Source organism: Homo sapiens, chromosome 3, assembly GCF_000001405.40.
Source record: "Homo sapiens chromosome 3, GRCh38.p14 Primary Assembly".
NCBI lineage: Eukaryota > Metazoa > Chordata > Mammalia > Primates > Hominidae > Homo > Homo sapiens.
The window spans coordinates 108547884-108567798 of NC_000003.12; the positions used below are offsets into that span (position 1 = coordinate 108547884).

Here is a 19915-nt window from a genome sequence, read left to right on the forward strand (position 1 = left end):
GCCCACAAATTACTTATTATTTCCAAAAGGAAAAACAGGAGTGTTACACTGAAGAAACTACTTTGTATTGGTGCATGCAAAGAGGTGAACATACTGATGTTGACAGCCAGAGTCTTTCCATGTAATTGCTTAAAGCAAAAATTATCACATGGTTTTGAAGGTTAGCTACATAAGCAGAGGTAATGCACATGTCAACTATAGCATGAAGGATGAGAAGAGGACAGATGGACCTATATAGTTGCAAGGTTTCTACATTTTAAGTTAAGTGGTACAATATTAACTCTAAGTGGATTGTTAAAGGACTTATTTTGTCAAAATTGATAAAAAAGCAAGACCCAATTCTATTTGTTTACAAGTCATGAATTTTACATATAAACATAACAGGTTAAAAGTAAACTGATAGAAAAAGATATATCAGGCCAACAGAAAACATAATAAGGACTAAGTGGCTATGTTATTATCAAATAAAATAGACCTCAAGATAAAGATTACCAAACATAAAAAGACATTTCTTAATAAGTAAATGTAACATCTAATAGCAAAGTTTTGACTAGTTTTGTTACTAAAGTTTGAATGGAACACAGCCATGACTAATCATTTATGTATTGTCTATGGCTGCTTCTGTGCTGCAATAGCAGGGTTGAGTTGTTGTGACAGAAACTATGTTCCAGAAAGCCTAAAATATTTACTATCTGCCCCTTTACAGAAAATGTTTGCTAAATCTTGCAAAGGATTAAGTCACAAACAGGACACATGGCTGGTACGATGGTATATATGCCAAAAGCAAAGTTGTAAATATAGTTCATAACTATTTGAAGGCAGGAAAAGAATCAAATTACAGTAAGACTTTGAGTTTTAGGAAATATAACTTGATAAGTACCTGTAACATATGAATGAATGACCAAAGGTAGAAGTAGAAATTCAAACATATTTTCATTTAACTGACAGTGCTAACTCATGACAGAATCTCTTTTTATTCTTAAGTAACTAGTCCTTATAATATATAAGTAAATAGACCCAAATGGACACTGACCTGATAATTTCCTAAGACACAGCATACAGTTTCATTCTTTTTTTCCTGACATTAAATTAATGAACAATTTAATATAAACTTTAACCAACCAAATTTTATGAGATGTGTCTATTTGTTCAAGTGGCAAGTGTAAATAGTAACGGAACTGTGTTAATGTATACTTTGGAGACAAACTCTCCCCAGCAAAATTTTAAGAGGATGCGAGTAATCCTAATATAATGATGCACTTCCTAAGTTTTGTTTTTTCCATTAGGAAATGGACATGCATACACACATACAAAACCCTGACTATGGTGGTGGTTCAAATTTGATTAAATTTTTTTTTTTAGAAAAAAAATATTTACACACACTTTTGCTTTTTTAATATGAGGTACACAGTCCAACAAGAAAAAAAAAGTAACTGATATAGTAAAGGCACTCAGAAAAACAACAGAAACAATATGAAAGGTGTTACAAGAGACAGAAAGAGATGAAGGATGATGATTAGTACTCACCTTCTTCAAAGCTGCAGTACGGACTTTCTTCTTTAGGGAGAGAAGATTAGAAATAAACAGGTTAAAATTACATTAAGAAAGGGCTACTACATATATATAATGGGGTAATTATTTATATAGATCTTTAAGAAAAGGCAAATTGAGTTCTTTAAACACATACTTGTGAGAATGGGACAGATCTGCATTATCTAACAGGATGGTTATCAAAATTAAATTTAATAAAATCAAAAATTTAGTTTTTTCAGTTGCAAAGGCCAAATTTCAAGTGCTCAATGGCCACTTTTAGCCACTGGCTATGGGACTGGACATCATAGAACACTGTCATTATCACAGAAAATTGTATAGGGTAGCACTAGGCTAGGCTGTCTCAAGATGTCTAAATTGGAAAGATAAATTGATTTTCCCTAGAATTTTTGGTTCATTCATTCATTTCTTTCTTTAACGTTTTGTCTCTTTTATTTTATAGACCCTTTTATTCTTCAGTCTTATCTATCCACTTAAACTTTTTCATATTTGGTTGAAAATGCATGCAATTTCAAAAGAGAAACAGAATGTATCTCCTCTATAGAACAAATAGTAATTTAAAATGTTTTACTCTGCATAATATTTTTTAAAAAATTTCCAGAACTGTACAAATCTAAATTCACTTAAATCAAACAGACATATGGTGAAGAAAACACCAAGTAAAATTAATGACTGTATTGGTATAGCAATAAAATCAATCAAAATATTGATGTAAAAACGTTTCTTACAGAGTAGTTAGAGGATATGATTCAAATGAAAAGTACAGAAGGACCCTTGTATTTTAAAAAAAATAAAGATATTTAACCTATGCTTTAAAATTAAATGAACCAATTAAAAACTATTAGGACAACAAATTAAATACAATTCATATCAGAATTAACAGTAAATAATATTTTTCTGAATATGCAGCAAGAGTAGAATCCAAATTATCCTTATGTAAATCATAAGAAACTTATAATTAATTATAGATGATCTGGACCACTATGCAACATTTGAAAAAAGAGAAAAAAACACTAAATATACCTTACAAATAATTCTACAAGTTCTTAGATTTTTTATGAGACAGCTATTGTGTTAAATGTAATCATTTAAATGTAATAGTTTAACACAATGACAGTTTTCTAATTTTTATACATTTTATTACCATTGCATTTTTTTCAAATTTAGAAATTATGCTACAGCAGTATAAAAATTATTTTAAATTCACTAATATTTTCTTTTGTGCTTCTTCAGAGACAAACTTCTCTAGCAGTAAAATCATACCTTCTCTCTTTTTACTTTACTTTTTACTTTTACTCTCTCTATATTTTTATTTTGTAATCTTTAGGACTGTTATACCAAGAAAGTTTGGTCTTAAGATCTAAATAATCACAAATGAGAATAAATAAGACAGGCAAAACAGAATAGAAAGCAACTAAGAAAAAGGAAAGAACCTTAGAAAAATGATAATGGAGGTTAAAAATGATTTTCTAATGTAAGAACCAAAGAAAACCTTAAGCCATAAAAGCCAGAAACAAAAAGTAAAACTTAGAAAATTAAATTTCTATTCAAACTATCAAATAAAAAACATGCAACAGATCAGGGTCTTTACTAAATTAGATAATAACTTCTTATTGTTACGAAGTCACAAATTAACTCCCCTACCCACCCCCCCTCCAATAGATAAATACATCAAAAATATCATGAGATTACAAATTCCAAAATGCCATAATGTCTATATACTGAGATTCACAGTTTCTGGATTTATTTTTCCACCACTTAAACTGTGGATCATTGCTATCATGTGGGAGTGTTTGTTCAATTCCTCTTGCTGAAGTTTCACCAAGGACTCTTTCTCTTCCAAACGACCTTCTAATTGTGCCTTTTGAACCTCTAGGGAGGAAGCCTAAGGAATTGGGGTTGGGGGAGGAGGAAGAATTGAGAAGAAAAATAACTTTAATGTTTTCTCTATACATATATTTTAAGATGCTTTTATTTTTTATTGTACAACAACCATTTCAAGACATACTATAAATATTATACTTCAGTTAATTCAATTACATGGTAAGTTTAAAATGAATAATCATTAAACAATATAATACAAATTGAGAATACACTTTCAACTTGTCTTAAGTTAATGCCAGCAGCTGAAATTTTGCAGAAAATACTACACACTACATATTAAAATTACTAATAAGATAATCACATTAAAGCAGAACCAGAAAAACTGTAAATGTGGTACTAAATTTTATGCCTCTTCTGTTACTCAGTAGTAGTAGTAGATCAGTCTTTAATCCTAGTCTGTTCTCATCTTCCTGGTAGTAAACGGGCCAGAAAGTACAATTCATAGCTACCACTCAAGCTATGCAACCATGGTAATATAGAAAGAACCCCGGACTCAGATTCAGAATATATACCTATTGATTCACTTATTAGCTGTGTGACTTTAGTAAGTAACCTCAGACTCAGTTTCTTCAGTTGTAAGTTGAAAATATTTATTAACACATTATATAATATTTGTTAAAGTGAAAATTATACAGCTACCTATATATGACATCAAGTACTGGTAACCCCTTTCTGTATTCTTTGCACACTTGAAAATACCAGGTGCTGACACAAAGTATCTGTTTAATAACTGCTTAACTATTTTAGAAAATACATTATGAAAACCTCATAACAAATGATACTCAAGCTGCTTTGAGATCCTAATATCTTCTAAAAAATTTGCTGAAGAAACAGTACATTCCTTTATCCATATTCACCCTTTTCACAACAGACTTTTTTATTTTACTGCAAATGAGAAATGGAACAGATTCTTACCTTAATGCTCAACTCTTTTCTTATCTGTTCTGTTCTGCTTAATTCTTTTCTAAGGATATCAATGGTTTCTTCCTTATCTTCCCTTTCCTTTTGTAAGGTTTTAATCTTTTCTTCTTGTACTTTTGTTTTTTGATGCAAATCTTAAAAGAAAAAAAAGTCAAGTATTATACTCAGAGGTCTTACACTGACTACTCTGAAATGGTCTAGTAGCTACTGTAAGAGCAAAAGAGAAATAACTAGAACAAGGAAGAGAAACTTCTCTTATGACAGTATTCTATAGAAAATACCAAATCTCCATGTCTTTCTTCCATCCTCTGTTCTAAATATAATATGCTATATAGGTAAAGGACAATTCTCAAAAGTGTAAGGGTTAGAAAAGGGAGAGCTACAACTATGAAAAATTATATAGGTAGGTGCCTGCGCTCTAAGGCAAGTGAGAACAAAAATGTTTTTCAGGATCATTTCAAATATACCATTAAGAAGCTAGTAACTAAAAGTTACCTAATACTGCCACCTGCTGTTACGTTCCTTCAACATTTTTTTATTTTGAAAAGGGCAATCCATAATCCTATGTGATTTAACGAAGGAACAGAAAACCAAATACTCCAAGTTTTCACTTCTAAGTGGGAACTAAACATTGAGTACACACAGACTTAAAGATGGAACCAATAGACACTGCAGACTAGAGTTGGCAGGAGGTTGAAAATTACCTATTGCTACCTATTTGGTACTATGCTTACTACCTGGGTGATGAGATCCATACCCCAAACATCCGTGTCATGCAATATACCCAGTGTAACAGACCTGCACACATGCCCCCTGATTCTAAAAGTTGAAATAATAAAAAAATTAAATTAAATTAAATGGTCAATCATCTCTTTCCTTTTGTTTTTTTTTTTTTTTTTTTTTTTTTTGAGACAGTCTTGCTTTGTCACCCAGGTTGGAGTGCAGTGGCGTGAACATAGCTCACTGCAGCCTTGACATCCAGGTTCAAGAGATTCTCCCACTGTAGCTTCCTGAGTAGCTGGAACTACAGGTGCACACTAACACACCTGGCTAAATTTTTGTATTTTTTGTAGAGATGGGGTTTCACCATGTTGCTCAGGCTGGTCTCAAACTCCTGAGCTCAAGCAATCTACCCATCTCCAACTCCCAAAGTGCTGGGATTACAGGAGTGAGCCACTGTGCCTGGCCAATTTCTTATAGCTCCTAAATTTAAAAAACGTACCACTTTTTCAACTTGATTAAACCGAACTGCTTTTGTGAAACATTATGTCAAGAAAAGGGAAGCCATTCCAAATATGATTTAAAGTTTAAAACAATAAGTAGAAAATAAAAAAGCAAACAAAACCACTCATGCTTCCAAAATAAATACATTAAAAATAGAAAATGTATTAAATAAGAAGCCACTTACTTGCTAGCTTATGTTCTCTGTCTACTAGCTGATTCTGTACTTCTTTTCTCTGTTCTTCTTTCTCTATTAATTGGGCAATACTTCTGAAGTTATTAAAAAAAATAGAAGAAAACATTAATGAACCATATACCATTTGTAACTTTTTCTCCCTACCAAGCACTTTGGGAGGCCAAGGCGGGCAGATCACAAGGTCAGGAGATCGAGACCATCCTGGCTAACATGGTGAAACCCCGTCTCTACTAAAAATATAAAAAAAAAAAAAAAAAAAAAAAGGTCTCGTTCTGTCACCCAGGCTGGAGTGCAGTGGCATGATCTTGTGCTCACTGCAACCTCTGCCTCCCGGGCTCAAGTGATTCTCCTGCCTCAGCCTTCTGGGTAGCGGAGATTACAGGCACCCGCCACAACACCCAGCTAATTTTTGTATTTTCAGTATTTACAGAGTTTCGCCATGTTGGCCACGCTGGTCTCAAACTCCTGACCTCATGCGCTCCACCCACCTCAGCCTCCCAAAGTGCTGGGATTATAGGCGTGAGCTACCATGCCCAGCCTTTAAAACAAAATTTCTAAGAACAGCAATTGCCTGTAACTTCCACCAAATACATATCTTATATCTAAAATAAGTGACAATTCTATTAATTTTATCAATAAAAAACAATGTTCTATATAAAGGGAATCATTTTGTTTTTGAAAAATCCCACATATTCAGAATATAGAACTAGAGATTTTACTTTTCATTTTGTTCCTTGAGTGACTCATTCAACTTTTTCACTGTCTCAATTTGTTTATTCAGAGAATCACATGTGATCTGTAAATCTTTATTCTTCTTTTCAGTACTTTCATTTCTGAAAAGACAAGAAAATGAGTTGGCATCATTATGGAGGAAAACATATGAAGGAGAAAAGAAGCTCACAGTGTTTTCTTTACTATCTCTTCTAACCAAATTGCATATGCTGGAAGAGAAGGAATGTTATGAACAAGCAGGACATAAACAGAATTTCATCTACTCTAAAAGGCAGTAAATACATGTTTTGGTTGACTGATGTGGTAAAAATTACTATGAAATAGAAATGTGTGGGGCATTAATCTCATATTTATGGATATAAAGCCTTATTTTACAGATGATATTGCATTACATAATTTGCTATAAATAAGTTTAGGGTTCTACATTTGTCTCTTTAAAACTCTGCATCTAATAGTCCTAAGTATTTTACCTGCAAGGTAAACACAGAAAAAAATCCTTTCTAAAGTAATACTTTGATACTCAACTACCATAAGCATAAAATGTCTTTTTTATTTCACTAAGCACAAAGATTTTTAAAAAGCAACCCAAAAACCAAACCAAAACAAACAAAAAAAACCAGTAGCCAAACTTGGCCAGCAGTTTTTGTATCTAATCCATACAGGAATTTTAACAATCTGAGTTTGAGTGCCTTTAGACAGTCCTGACCATTACAAATGACCTTTTCCCCAGCCAGCTTCATTTACATGTTATCCACTTGTCCATTCAAGGAATTTCACCTTCTAGCCCCTAAATCACTAGCTGGAACATAAGCAGGTCTTAGAAACCACGTATTTTTCTTGGACGCTGCCTATCTCTTAGGTTCTCTATGTGAGACAAAGCAGGTATCCCCTTTTTAGGAGGTCTGAGGACCTCAAGCTGGAAAATAAAGGAAAATCCTGAGTTCACTCAAGGGAAATTCCAGGGACCTAGATAGCCCTAGAAGTAAATAAGTAACTTGTTAAACAGGAAGGTAATAGTAGCCTAAATCAAAGTTAACAAACTTAAGAGTACCAGTGATACTTGATTCTTTATAGAACTTAAAGAAAACAACTTAACACATGTCCCTGAGTTGTATTTCAGAGACCCGGACCCTCATTGAGGAAGCCCACTGACCAGATCCATTGACAAGTAGAGCTCAGGTAAGGAGAAAATGAAGGCTGAATTTTAACCACTGTTCTTTGTTCTAAGTTTCTTTCTCAGGGTCTTGAACAAAGTCACTCTCCCTAGCTAGTTAACATTTTTCTACTGACCCCAAATGTTTAAACAAAGCTGCTCTTCCTTAACCAACTGCAAATCGAAAAATCTTTGGGTCTACCCATGACCTGTAAGCCCCTGCTTCACAATATCCTGTCCTTTAAACTTAAACCAATGTATAACCTTTAACTATTTATTTATGATTTTTGTCTGTAACTTCCACTTTCCTGAAATTTACTCGCCTTTAAAAATCCTTGCTTGCAAGCTATTGGGGAGGTCAGTATTTGAGCATTTGGCTGCCTGCTCCTCCTTACTTGGCACCCTGCAGTAAAAGCCTTTTTTTCTATCACTGCAAACCTTGGTGCAGATACCTGGTTTTACTGTATTGAGCAAATGGAACCCATTTCAGTTCTATAACGTATTTTCTTCACTGCTGACGTTCTCAACTTGGCTTATCACTAATACTACACTTTATCAGTGGTGCCTCAAACAATCAGACTTTGTAAAAAGTTGCTGGGGTAAATATCCTGTTAAAAAATCACTTTGTCATCATTTTCTAGATACTATTCATTTCTCACCCTTCATTATTATTGATGGGAAATAAGCATATGTACCATGCCAAGCTAAAAATTTCTATATCTCTGTATTAACAACATAGAACAATCTTAAAATATAAAGCAATAAACAAGTTCCCCCAGAGTGTATTTACTTTTATGGGTTGGTAGAAAATACATAATTGTTCCTGGTCTTCCCTGTAATTCAGAAGTTTTACAACTGGCCTAAAAAGATAAAAGAGTTTATAAGGGAGGAAAAACCAATCAAACTTTGCTAGTAGGCACACAAATTGGTACAGGTTGAGCAACACTAATTTGAAAATCCAAAATCAGTCTAAAATCAAAAGTGCTCCAAAATATTAAACTTTTTGAGTGCTACCATTGTGTTCAAAAAGGACACTCAATCTGTATCACATTTTGGAGGAAAATTTAGAAATATCTATCAAAATATTAAATATACATACCCTTTAACTTAGCAATTCACCTATGTGAACTTATTCTACAGATGTAATCACACATGGAAGTAAACTATAATCAAGGATATTAAGAGATGAGTTAAACACTTACACCTAAATTTCCATTCTATTAGGCAGAATGATATGAAATTGCCAATATTCAACTACTTTTGATCTGCAGAAATGACCATTCAACCTAATACTAATTTGACAACTAAGTTTATTTAAAAATTATTAATGAAGTGCCTAACTATGCAGCAAGCACTCCTACAGGCCCTAGGGATCTGTCAGTGATCAAAACAGACAAACTTGTCCTTGTGGAGCTTATCTCCCAAATGACTGCTGACTGTTATGAATACATAAAAGAAGTCAACTGGAAAGACCTGTATTTTGTTTCCAACATTGATACTGAGTTTGAGGAAGCAACACTTCATTTCACAATGACTTAAGTTTCTTGCTAATTACTTACCTCATGTGTTATCAGAATATATGAAATGCTTACAAAAGGATTTTCGGGTCTCAGAAAAGAAATGCTGCATGTTCATTCTAGGTTCTAACCTTACACAGAAGATTTTACTTTATTTACCTCTGAAGAAGTTCCATGTAGGATTTTGTCAGTATTTCATGTTCTTCAGCCACAGACTCTAACTTCCTATTATGTTGAAAGAGATGCTCAATATCACTCTGCGCTCTTTCTGATTCAACTTGCTGCGCCTTCAGCAACACACTAAGCTCTTCATTTTTTCTCTCAACTTCTCTCAACATACTAGCAAGTGTCCGTGCCTCAAAAAAAAAAAGAAGATAGACTTTACCACTATCATCTATATCATATGCTCAACACATACCTACAATTTAAAAGTTTACTAAGTATCTAATAAGCTGGTATCTGTTGGGTCATGCAAAGCTGTATTAGTCACATATACTTAGGACTTTACTTCTAATAAGTTGGATACTGTTATATTTTTTTAACTTAATACATTATCTGATAAAAACAATCTCACTATGATCAAATTAATGGAAATGGATACAACTGCAGCAACATGAAGGTCGCGCTACATACAGTATTCAATTAAAAAGGTATGGTCCTCAGAGGTAGCCATTAACACTAAACTGCTAAGTGTGCACACCATCAGCATTCTCATTTCAGGTGAGAATTAAGAACAAAATCTTAACGACATCACAGATGCTTAATCAAACACTTAAAATTAAGCTAGTATAATCAAAGAATGTAACCTATACCATAACCTGCATGTATTTATTATGTGATATGAAACACTAAAAAAGCAGAAAAGTCGCTAGAATAAAAAGTTGGTTCCCCCCAGCCCTTTGGATTTTATTTTACAATGCTAGACAAAACCCTAAGCCTTTCTCTGTTTTTACGACTTTGTGAAGAACCTGTATCCAGTTATTTAGTGCTATTTTTATAAGAACTTTTCCAGTAACATGAATAAAATATTAAACTCTCTAATAAAATACAAGACATGTCCAACAGACAGAAAATATAAGAATGTGCTATGGGGAGAGGGAAAAATTATTTTAATATCACTAATGTTCTTTCTTGTAATTTGTGACAAATTCAACATACCAGTTAAGACAAATGAAACCATGTTAAAATAAGCAAAAAAGAAAGAAATATGGGGGAAAAAAAGAATACCATTATTCTGAAGAGACTTAAGAGGCATTTTACTAGTCACTTATTTTGATGCATCTTTCAAAAGCCAGGAACACTTTATTATAATTCATTCATTATAAATAATATCAAGTTGTATAGATTCCATTTGTATCTGCTGGGAATTTCATATTACTGCAGTAAGTTCACTCTTAAGGTATACATTATATATGTACATAATACAATGCCAAATTTACTGAGCACCTATTATGTGCCAAGTGCTATGCTAGGGCCTGGAGCTATAGAAGCAGTCTTTGATACCATGAGTGAGGGAAAAAAGAATTTCCACGTGGTTTGAAAAATGTTATTAAGAGATAAGCGTAGGTTTGATACACAGAGGAAGGATCGTCAAACACGTGTGGGAAGGAGACCAGAGTAGGCTTCTGGGTAATGAGGATATTTTAACTGAAATCTGAAGGATTATGAGTTAGGCAGAAGAGAGGAAATGGTGTTCCAGACATGGAAAGTCAAGTGCCACGACAAGGAAATACGAGAATATGTCAAGTTTCAGAAAAAGCAAAGTGGCCTAACATGGCTGACTGCAAAGAATGCGCAGAAATGAAAGATGTGGATTGAGGCCTATATAGTTAGAATCCTTATATGCCAAACTAAAGAATTTTAATGATATTTGAAAGCAATAGCAGCTACTGTGAAAGATACTCAGCACAAGAGGGACAGGATCATTTTACTGCCTTAGAGATCCTTGGGGGAGCGGCTAGGTGAAGGGGGTAGAACCAAGGAAAGATGACTGGCTGTAGAGTATCTGAGAAGAGGGTAGAAGACTACAGGTAGGAAGACTAATTGCTCTGCTATGATTCATACAAAAAATGAAAAGGATCCAGCCTATAACAAATAGTGGTAGAAGCAGAGATAGGGCAGAAAAGAGTAATATTTAGAAGGTAGAATCAACTGGACTTGGTGAATAATTATAGGAGGTAAAAACTGTGATTTCCAGGGTTCTTATTTGTAGAACACTAAAAACAGAAGAGGGAATACATAAGAATAATTTTAAAAAGGGAAGGGTGATTAGTTCATTATTGGTTATGCTGAGTTTGTGGTATTTGCTGTATATTTAAATGGAGCAACATAGGCACATAGTGCTCAGGAAAATGATCTGTGCTTGACATATAAAATTAGGAACATTACTATTTTGGTAACCATTGAAACCACAGAACACATAACTAAAGGAAAAAGGTTTAGAATATAAGTCCCAGAGTCCCCAACACTTAAAGGTACAAAATAAATAACATAGGAAAATAATACAAGGTAGCAAAAAAAAATCAGGTAACGATGTAACCAAAATTAAAGAGGACAGAATTTCAGGAAGAAGGAAGGAGGCATGTCAAATGCTAAGGAGAATTTACTTCAATTAGAGTAACAAATACATAACTAATATTTTGCATGTTTTACTTATTAATTTTTCTACAAATCAGATGTGTCTTTATATTCTACACACCTCTGTTTCAGCTTGAGTTCTTTGACAGCGATGCTGAGCAATCAGTCTATCAGCCTGTGCAAGGGCTAGAGCTTTTGTTTCCAAAAGATCTTGTAGCCTGCTTTCTTTGGACTACAAGAAAACATATCATTAATTTTCATTTTAGGAATACATCTATTAAAGCTTATTACACATTGTTAAAATAAGCTTATACTCACAGCTAATGTGGATAGTTTCATTTCATATACATCCATTATGTCAGATATTCTCACATCACAAATCTGATCCTTTACCTACATTTTAAGAGTAAAAAAACTTAAAATTTTAATAAAATATTTTGACACAATGACAAAATAAATGCCTACTTCAAAACTAAATCATTAAAACTTAATGATGAGTAACAAAATAAAAACAAATGCTACATCAGGTAAGTCACAAATATTTCTTTTTTTTTTTTGAGATGGGTCTCACTGTCACCCAGGTTGGAGTGAAGTGGTATGATCTTGGCTCACTGCAACCTCTGCCTCCTGGGTTCAAGTGATTCTCCTGCCTCAGCCTTCAGAGTAGCTGAGACAACAGGCATGAGCCAACACGTCCAGCTAATTTTTTGTATTTTTAATAGAGACGGGGTTTCGCCATATTGCCCAAGCTGGTCTTGAACTCCTCAGCTCTGGCAATCTACCCTCCTTGGCCTCCCAAAATGCTGGGATTACAGGCGTAAGCCACCGCACCCGGCAAAATGTTGAAATTTTGACTGATTTTTCTTATTTCCAAATTTTCCAGAATATTGTTATTTCTTATATTAAGGTTTCAATAGTGAAATCTGTACCTGACAGTGTTTAGATACACGTTATAATTGGGACTGACATATAGCTAATATGTACCAGGTTATAATTGCTATTTTTTCACTCACCACCATTCCAGACTGAAGTTTCTCTATTAATTCTTCAATATTCAATCCAGGAACACCATCTTTCAAATGAGGAGTTAAACACTTTATTGATGTTGGAAAACTGTGATTTGATGATTGCCAGGGCATTTTTCTGGGTATATGTTCTGTTTCCTGTTGTCTATAGGCATTGTTTGCTGCTATACTTTCTCCAAGTCTGAATGGGAGTCAAAGAAAGGAAAAAAAAATTATACGAAAATAGAAGAAAAGGCAGACTTAGTGCAGAATTAGGGAATTTTTAAGAATGGGTCCTTTTTTTGAATAGAAGTCTTCAAATAATCTTGGAGACCATGATGAAATGAAGTCTTGGGAAATATTCTGAATTTTCCAGAGCACCCACTTTTCTGTTTCTAACCTTTTATAATGACAGCTTCACCTCTGGTTTGGAGGCATTGTAAGACTAGTTTATGAGTGTGGATTATCTGTAATAAGTACAAAGTTATTGGTACTGGTCAGAATAATGTTCTTATCATGGGTGATATCACCTGGCCTTTACGTCCTTAGTCCTTTTCCTTTCTCACTCAGTACATACTTTTCACCAACCTGACTTCCATTCTAACCCTTTAAAATCCTCTCTTTCTCCTACCTCAGGCCTTCATATGAGCTGTTCCTTTATCTGGAACACGCTTTCTACCACAAAACAAAATATTTTTTTCACTTATCTCTTAACTAAAGTGCAAACTGCAAGATGGCAGGCACTCAGCCTAATTTATTATAGGCTGGGCATGGTGGCTCACACCTGTAACCGCAGCACTTTGGGAGGATCACTTGAGTCCAAGAGTTCGAGACAAGCCTGGGCAACCTGGTGAGACCCCTCTATAAAAAAATAAATTAATTAAGCAGTTGTGGTGGCACAAGCCTGTGGTCCCCGCTACTCAGGGGGTTGAGTTGGGAATATCACTTGAGCCCCAGAGGTCGAAGCTGCAGTGAGTCATGATCACACCACTGCACCCCAGTCTGGGTGATAGAGTGAGACCCTGTCTCGAAAACAAACAAGTAAATACACACACACAAAAACCCTACCTACCAATGCATCCATAATATACATTCAGTTTATTAAACGCCCAAGATAATGTCAAATAAGGGCATTAAATAGTAAGCATAAAATGGACATCTGAGATAATGCCCAAAGAGAAAATTATTTACAACACAAATAAGACAGGGAATGCCAAGACACAGTCAAAATGGTGGGAAGGCCTCACACACAGAGGCAGAGGATAAGACTTCCATGTTCAGTGAGGCTGCAGATTCCCCTTTGAAGCTCTTAAGGTTTTGTTTCATGTCAGATTACCAGTTTATGCAAGCAGGCCATCACAAAATAGAGCAGCTTTACAGACCACTTTTAACTTGTAACTTGAAAAGCTTCCTGTGTATTTTTGTTGTTGCTGTTAAAAAAATATTTATTATAAAATTAAGGGAATTTTGGTTATATGTTCTCTAGGTCTTACATCCCATACTTTAACTCTTAAGGTATGATGACCTAAATTGCTAATTCTGAAAAGTGGAATCGCTAAATCAGTGAATAGCATATAGCATGGACCAGCACTTTTTCTTATAGGTCAAGATAGTAAGTATTTTAGACTCAAGGACCTATCTGGTCTCTGTCACAATTACTCAATTCTGCTTTTATAGAGTGAAAGCAACATAGACAGAGTATAAAAATGAGTGGGTGTGGCCATATTCCAATAAAACTATTTACAAAAACAGATGCCTGTCCACTGGCCAGTTTGCTGATCCCGGTATACAGGGAATATCTTACCTGTTTATCAACTACTTCAAATTATTCAAACCATTTTTACAAATTCATACATATAAATGACTTAAAAAAATTTTAAACCAGACTCCTAATAGACATTTAGTTCAGAGAGCCCTGAAATCTGAATTTTTTTTCAAACATAATTGCAAATATTCTTATTGCTTGAAAGTAACGAGTATAGTAGAAAATTTTGCCTGGTTGTCATTTTTCCACTTTCTGATAAAAGTTCAGATTTTTTTCTTTAGGAACTCTCCTATTCTCCTATCCCAACTAACTTTTAGTCCACATCGTTCTCATGGATAACCCAGGCCTGGTCAATGACTAATGCTTAGACCTTTTCCTTAAACAGTCAGGAAGGAAAAGCTCTTTCTATGGAGGAACTAAACTGGGAGGATGTAGGCTTAAGAGTGTCCAGAAGTTATCATTAAAAAGAAGTGGCTAGAGACATAGAGGGATAGTACCTGAAGAACATTTAACTGCCTGGATCTAGCTTTTCCCTGAGTGAGTATACATCTGAACTTTTCATTTATAAGAATCAAACATTTTTAGAAATCACTTGAAAAATTACTATTACAATGAAGTCTTCAATTCACTAATTTGCTTGTGTATCTATACTGAGGACTAAAGAGACATAGCAGGGTATTCCAACACCACAAGAGATACACTGCAAATGATTACAACTCACACTAAAGCAGGAAAATCTGGCAGTGGAGCAGCCTCCAATAATATTCTCAGTCCAGACTGTACTTGTTCTCTATTATCTGACGTTAAAGCAAAAGCCAAAGGAGTAATCAAACGTGGGTCCTAAATAAATCAGAAACCAAAAAAGAAGCAGCAGAAAGAATAAACAATGTCAGCTCTTTTAGATAGGAGGTGAGTAAATATATGTAAATCTTAATTCTAGGCAAATTCTAAAATGTTTCTAATGTTTGAATATATTATAGTCTATATAGTTTGAATATATTATACCTTGTTATAGCTGTTTACACTGCAATGCAATCAATATGAACAGTTTAAAAAAATCTGGCAAAGGTTTTGAATGCTTTCAAATGTGCCTATAAAAATTATGCCTTATATATTTTCGTGGATTAAAAAACCCACAACTGACTGATGTGTAGAATTAATGTTTTTTTCCAAGCTATCATTTAAAAGAAAAAAATGGCCAATCACTTCCAAATTAAGGCTATAAAATAAAAAGTAAAATTCAAATTAAATTAGAACATTTAAATTTAAAGATCGAAAAAATACAGTTACTTCAATCATTTATGTCAGTAAATATTTTACATTAGTATTGTAAGCCCCAAGTCATCAACATATATCTAAAATGTCTGGGACCAGAAGTGTTTCAAATTTCTGATTTTTTTCAGATTTTAGAATATTTACATGTACTTACTGGTTGGGCATCCCTAATCCAAAAACCCAAAATGCTTCAGTGAGCACTTCCTTTGAGTATCACCTTTGAGCCTCATTTTGGTACTTAAAACGTTTTGTTTTTTGGAGCATTTCAGATTTCAGATTTTCAAATTAGGGATGCTCAACCTGTATTATGAAAAACATCTTAAATAATGGACATAACATCAGTTTGACTCCTTTAAAAATACATTGAGATATTAGTGAAGAAAATATTAAAATATAAATCCCTTATAATTAAAATATTGAGTACCTTGTAGGTACTTGAGTATAATCCAGTGTCACAGAACTGTGATAAGAGCAGAGCTTTATCTCCAAAACCCTCAATGGTAAGCCTCATTATTTCCAGTTTGTAGTCGAGGAAATTGAAGTCGAGAGAGGTGAAATAACTTACTCAAGCCTGTACTAAGAACCAGTAGAGTCAACATTTGAACTCAGTCCCTTAATCTCAAAACATGCCAGTGGTCCCTGCCTAAGGTTTCAGTTTTGGCTTCTACACTGTCTATACAGTCACTAGAGATGTCTCTGTTAAGCTACTGCAGTAATTTAATTCACTCATTTTTGTTAAACATCTGTTGTAAAGGTAGGTGTTGTAGATATTATTACACAAAGTTTTTAAGAGGCTAATATTTTGGAGTAGTCTCCTCCACTATGCTTTAGCAGACCAGATCAAACCAGAAAGGAGTCACTTGGATGAGTGCCATGTAATCAAACTGCACTTTGAAATGGGCCAGTTTTCCAAAAAACCAGGAGATTTCAGTCAACCTGAGTTAGTATAATAAGGAAGCCCCCTTTATTATAATTCTATAGGAAAAGTAACTTTGAAATGACCAATCTGCTTTTAGTTCCCTATTTGTGCTTTCTTCAGCCCTTTTCTGGTCTATAAAGTCAACCTTCTCTGCTTAGCCCAGGGGAATGATTCATTCTATTTTATAGAATGAGGCTGCCAAATTCTAGAATCATAAATAAAAGCCAGTTAGAACTTTGAACTAAATTTGTTGTACTTTGCCTTTTGATAACAGCTAGAGATCATATTCAGCTACTATTATCATTGAAATTTGTGAGTTAGCTATTTTCTGCACAGCCCTTCTAATTATCACAATCCTTTTCTTCCAGCTGTCTCCCTATCCCCTTAATACCCTACATCAACCCTAACCAAAAACAAAAACCCTAAAACAAATATCACTCTTCCTCCAATGCCAACAGAAACAAATGAAGAAATATACAAATACAACACAAGAAAGGAAAAGGCTGAGGAAGCAGCACTATTGTGAACATTCTCTACATTAGTGTCATGAGCACTTATGTTCAATTCCTGTGAAAGTATATAAAATAACTGTGCAGTGAGACTATTATAACTGCTTAAGACAACAACTTTAAACTTTCTTCTCATTGCCAATTCTAAGAGAATTATCTTCTAAAGATTAAGAATATTAAAACAGAAACTTATATTAGGACCATTTATGTATGAATAAACTTCAATGTTTGAAGAGTTTAAACTCACCTGAAGTATTTTGTAGAAGCTTACTTCCATACCAGGAACCAATGGTTTAAGTTTGTTAATCAAATCAAGAGTTTTCAAAATTACATCAGCAGCAAGTTTGCTTTAAAGATAAATCACATTTAAATTAGATAACTGAAAAATTTCTTAGAGCTTGTTTCTGTCCAAAATTCTAAAGAAAATGAAAAAAACCAACACTTGTGTTTTTTAAATTCAAGATGATAAAGTCCTGTTTCTATTGAGAAGTAAAAATCTCAATCAACATTCTTATAACTCAAGATCCAAAGAGAACAAACTGGCATTAATAGCCTTAGTTTAGACAGTGTTTCTTTTACTACCAACCTGCTTCAACTTTCTGTTTCAAGTAAGTAGTAGTTTCGAAACACAGTTCATTTAATTCTTAGCTTTGTCACTAGAATATCAACAACAGACGGTAACCTTAGGCAATATAGAATATCTAATACGTAATGAATGAATTACACTAGGTCATGTTCTGAGTTTTGTACCTGAAAGTAGTATACAAATATAAAAACAGATAATTCTTACTCTAAAGGTCCACAATTACTGACAATTGTGACATCTGTGGAAACAGAAACAAATCATAGTGTCTACCACTCAGCAGGTCCTCAGTAAAGATTAGATGGACTTAATTCATGAGGAGGGAAGGGGTATAAAGTAATATCTTATTACCATCAGTGAAAATCCACCTTTAACCATAATTCCTGACCTGCCAAGGAAGGAGAGTTGTCTGTTATTAAAAAGCCTTTAGCAGTGACTGATTTCCTTGTAATAAAACTACTCTTCTGTTTTTTCATGCTTTTCATTTAAAAAAGTAAAATTGATTACTGAGGCAATGTCAAAAAGGAGCTCCAGAAATGTTCAGAACCCTTAGATAATTATAGTAAGTTAAAACAAGACAAAACAAACCTAAACAATAAAAAACAACAAATGTTAATACCTTTCTTCAAAAAGCACACAATCTACAAATTGAATGAATTTACAAAAAATTCATTATGAAAATATGTTTGTTAATCTGTTATATCTTAAGTTATAACCAAAGGATGGTCCTCCAAAAGGATGAGAATCACCACATCTTTCGATTTTTTACTGCCTTGCCATTTTGTCATTAGAGTTTATATACTCACCATAATTCAGAATCTGCAACCTTTGTTCCAAATCCCAGGTCAATCTTGCCATATGTAAATTGTTGTTCTATAAGAGTGGTACACTTGACAGTTGTCAAGATTTTTGCAATATGCATTTTTAGTGTATCATCTCCACAGAGAGGTTAAGTTTTGTTAAGATATACAACAAAAAAATTCTCACTTTATGTGTAAAAGATAACATTCAGGATGATTTCATACAAATTATATCATCACTGTCATCCAGTATAATTATTGTTAAATTAGCTCAATGACAAACAAGGAAACTGAAACTCACACAATTTAAATGACTAGCAAGTGGTAAGAGATGGACTGGCACCAAAGGTTTCTGACTCAATGGTTAAAACAGCGAGGATATCTTTCCATTGGATGTCTGTTTTTTGTTAGCAAGAATCTCAATGGTTCAATAAATATTTATTGAATAAGGGTAAGTTGTTTTGTCATATTTGTATATTATAAATTAATGTAAATAGCTATTATTTTAAAAGTTGTGGTCCAATTCAATGAGAAGGCCCCACTTTATTAATTATAAATATCTCCAAGGTCAAGCAATCATGTATCCCTACTGCAGTGGTTCTCAACTTTAGCTGCATGTTAGAATCAACCAGGTAGTTTAAACAATCACAAACAAAAAAGCCAACATGCAAACACACACCACCTAATGATTTCAGGGTTTCACATCACTCCAATTAAATTAGAAACTCTTGAAGTAAGGTTCTGGCATCGATTTTCTTTTTTTTTTTACATGTTCTCCAGGTGATTTTAGGTAGGAAATCAGGGTTGAAAGTCACTGCTTTAAAGGAAGAAAATTAAGGAGCAGTACCTTAGAAGAGGATATTAAACAGGGGTGGAGTTTGCTCTAGGACAGAGTAGAACATATTCTTGTTGCTCTGAGATACAAGGAAACCTGACTAGATACATTTAAGAGATCTGGTTGAGATACAGTGGCTCTTTGCTCATAGTAAAAAAGTATTAATGAAATATTTTAAAATTGGGACTTCCAGCAACTCAGAATTAGTTGGTCTATGAAAAAGTAAACACAAGGAAGACCTAGAAAATCAGTATATAGAAGTTAAGCAGTGAAACTAAAAGGTTTCTTTTTAAATGAATGAATTTGTGTTGATATACTTGTCTTTTCTTATAACCATTATTAAAGCAATTATGAAGGCTTTATTTTTAAAACATAAGGTAAAACAACTGAGCTAAAATCATGACAACTCTATCAGCATTTCTTTATCCACGAATACACATCACCAAAAAATGGCACTACTGATCGTCCGTCCA

The 19915-nt window shown here is 33.7% G+C and overlaps 2 protein-coding genes across 4 annotated transcripts in view; both read right to left on the reverse strand.

The window, feature by feature from the left end:
• MYH15 (myosin heavy chain 15) overlaps positions 1-3189 on the reverse strand; it is a 170705-nt gene extending 167516 nt beyond the window's left edge. Inside the window, exon 1 of the mRNA XM_011512559.3 lies at positions 1528-3189. The gene's annotated coding sequence lies outside the window, so the exon portion shown is untranslated. The remainder of the gene's footprint in view (positions 1-1527) is intronic.
• Positions 1981-19915, reverse strand: part of CIP2A (cellular inhibitor of PP2A) — a 39575-nt gene continuing 21640 nt past the window's right edge. For all 3 annotated transcript variants that reach the window (XM_006713716.4, NM_020890.3, XM_011513057.3), the window contains 11 exons: positions 18614-18755; positions 17472-17571; positions 15243-15361; positions 12766-12958; positions 12071-12145; positions 11874-11984; positions 9335-9531; positions 6493-6606; positions 5765-5847; positions 4351-4490; positions 1981-3436 (listed from right to left, as the gene is read on the reverse strand). In XM_006713716.4, coding sequence (XP_006713779.1) covers positions 3266-3436; positions 4351-4490; positions 5765-5847; positions 6493-6606; positions 9335-9531; positions 11874-11984; positions 12071-12145; positions 12766-12958; positions 15243-15361; positions 17472-17571; positions 18614-18755 — 1445 coding nt within the window. In that variant the 3' untranslated portion in view covers positions 1981-3265. The remainder of the gene's footprint in view (positions 3437-4350; positions 4491-5764; positions 5848-6492; positions 6607-9334; positions 9532-11873; positions 11985-12070; positions 12146-12765; positions 12959-15242; positions 15362-17471; positions 17572-18613; positions 18756-19915) is intronic.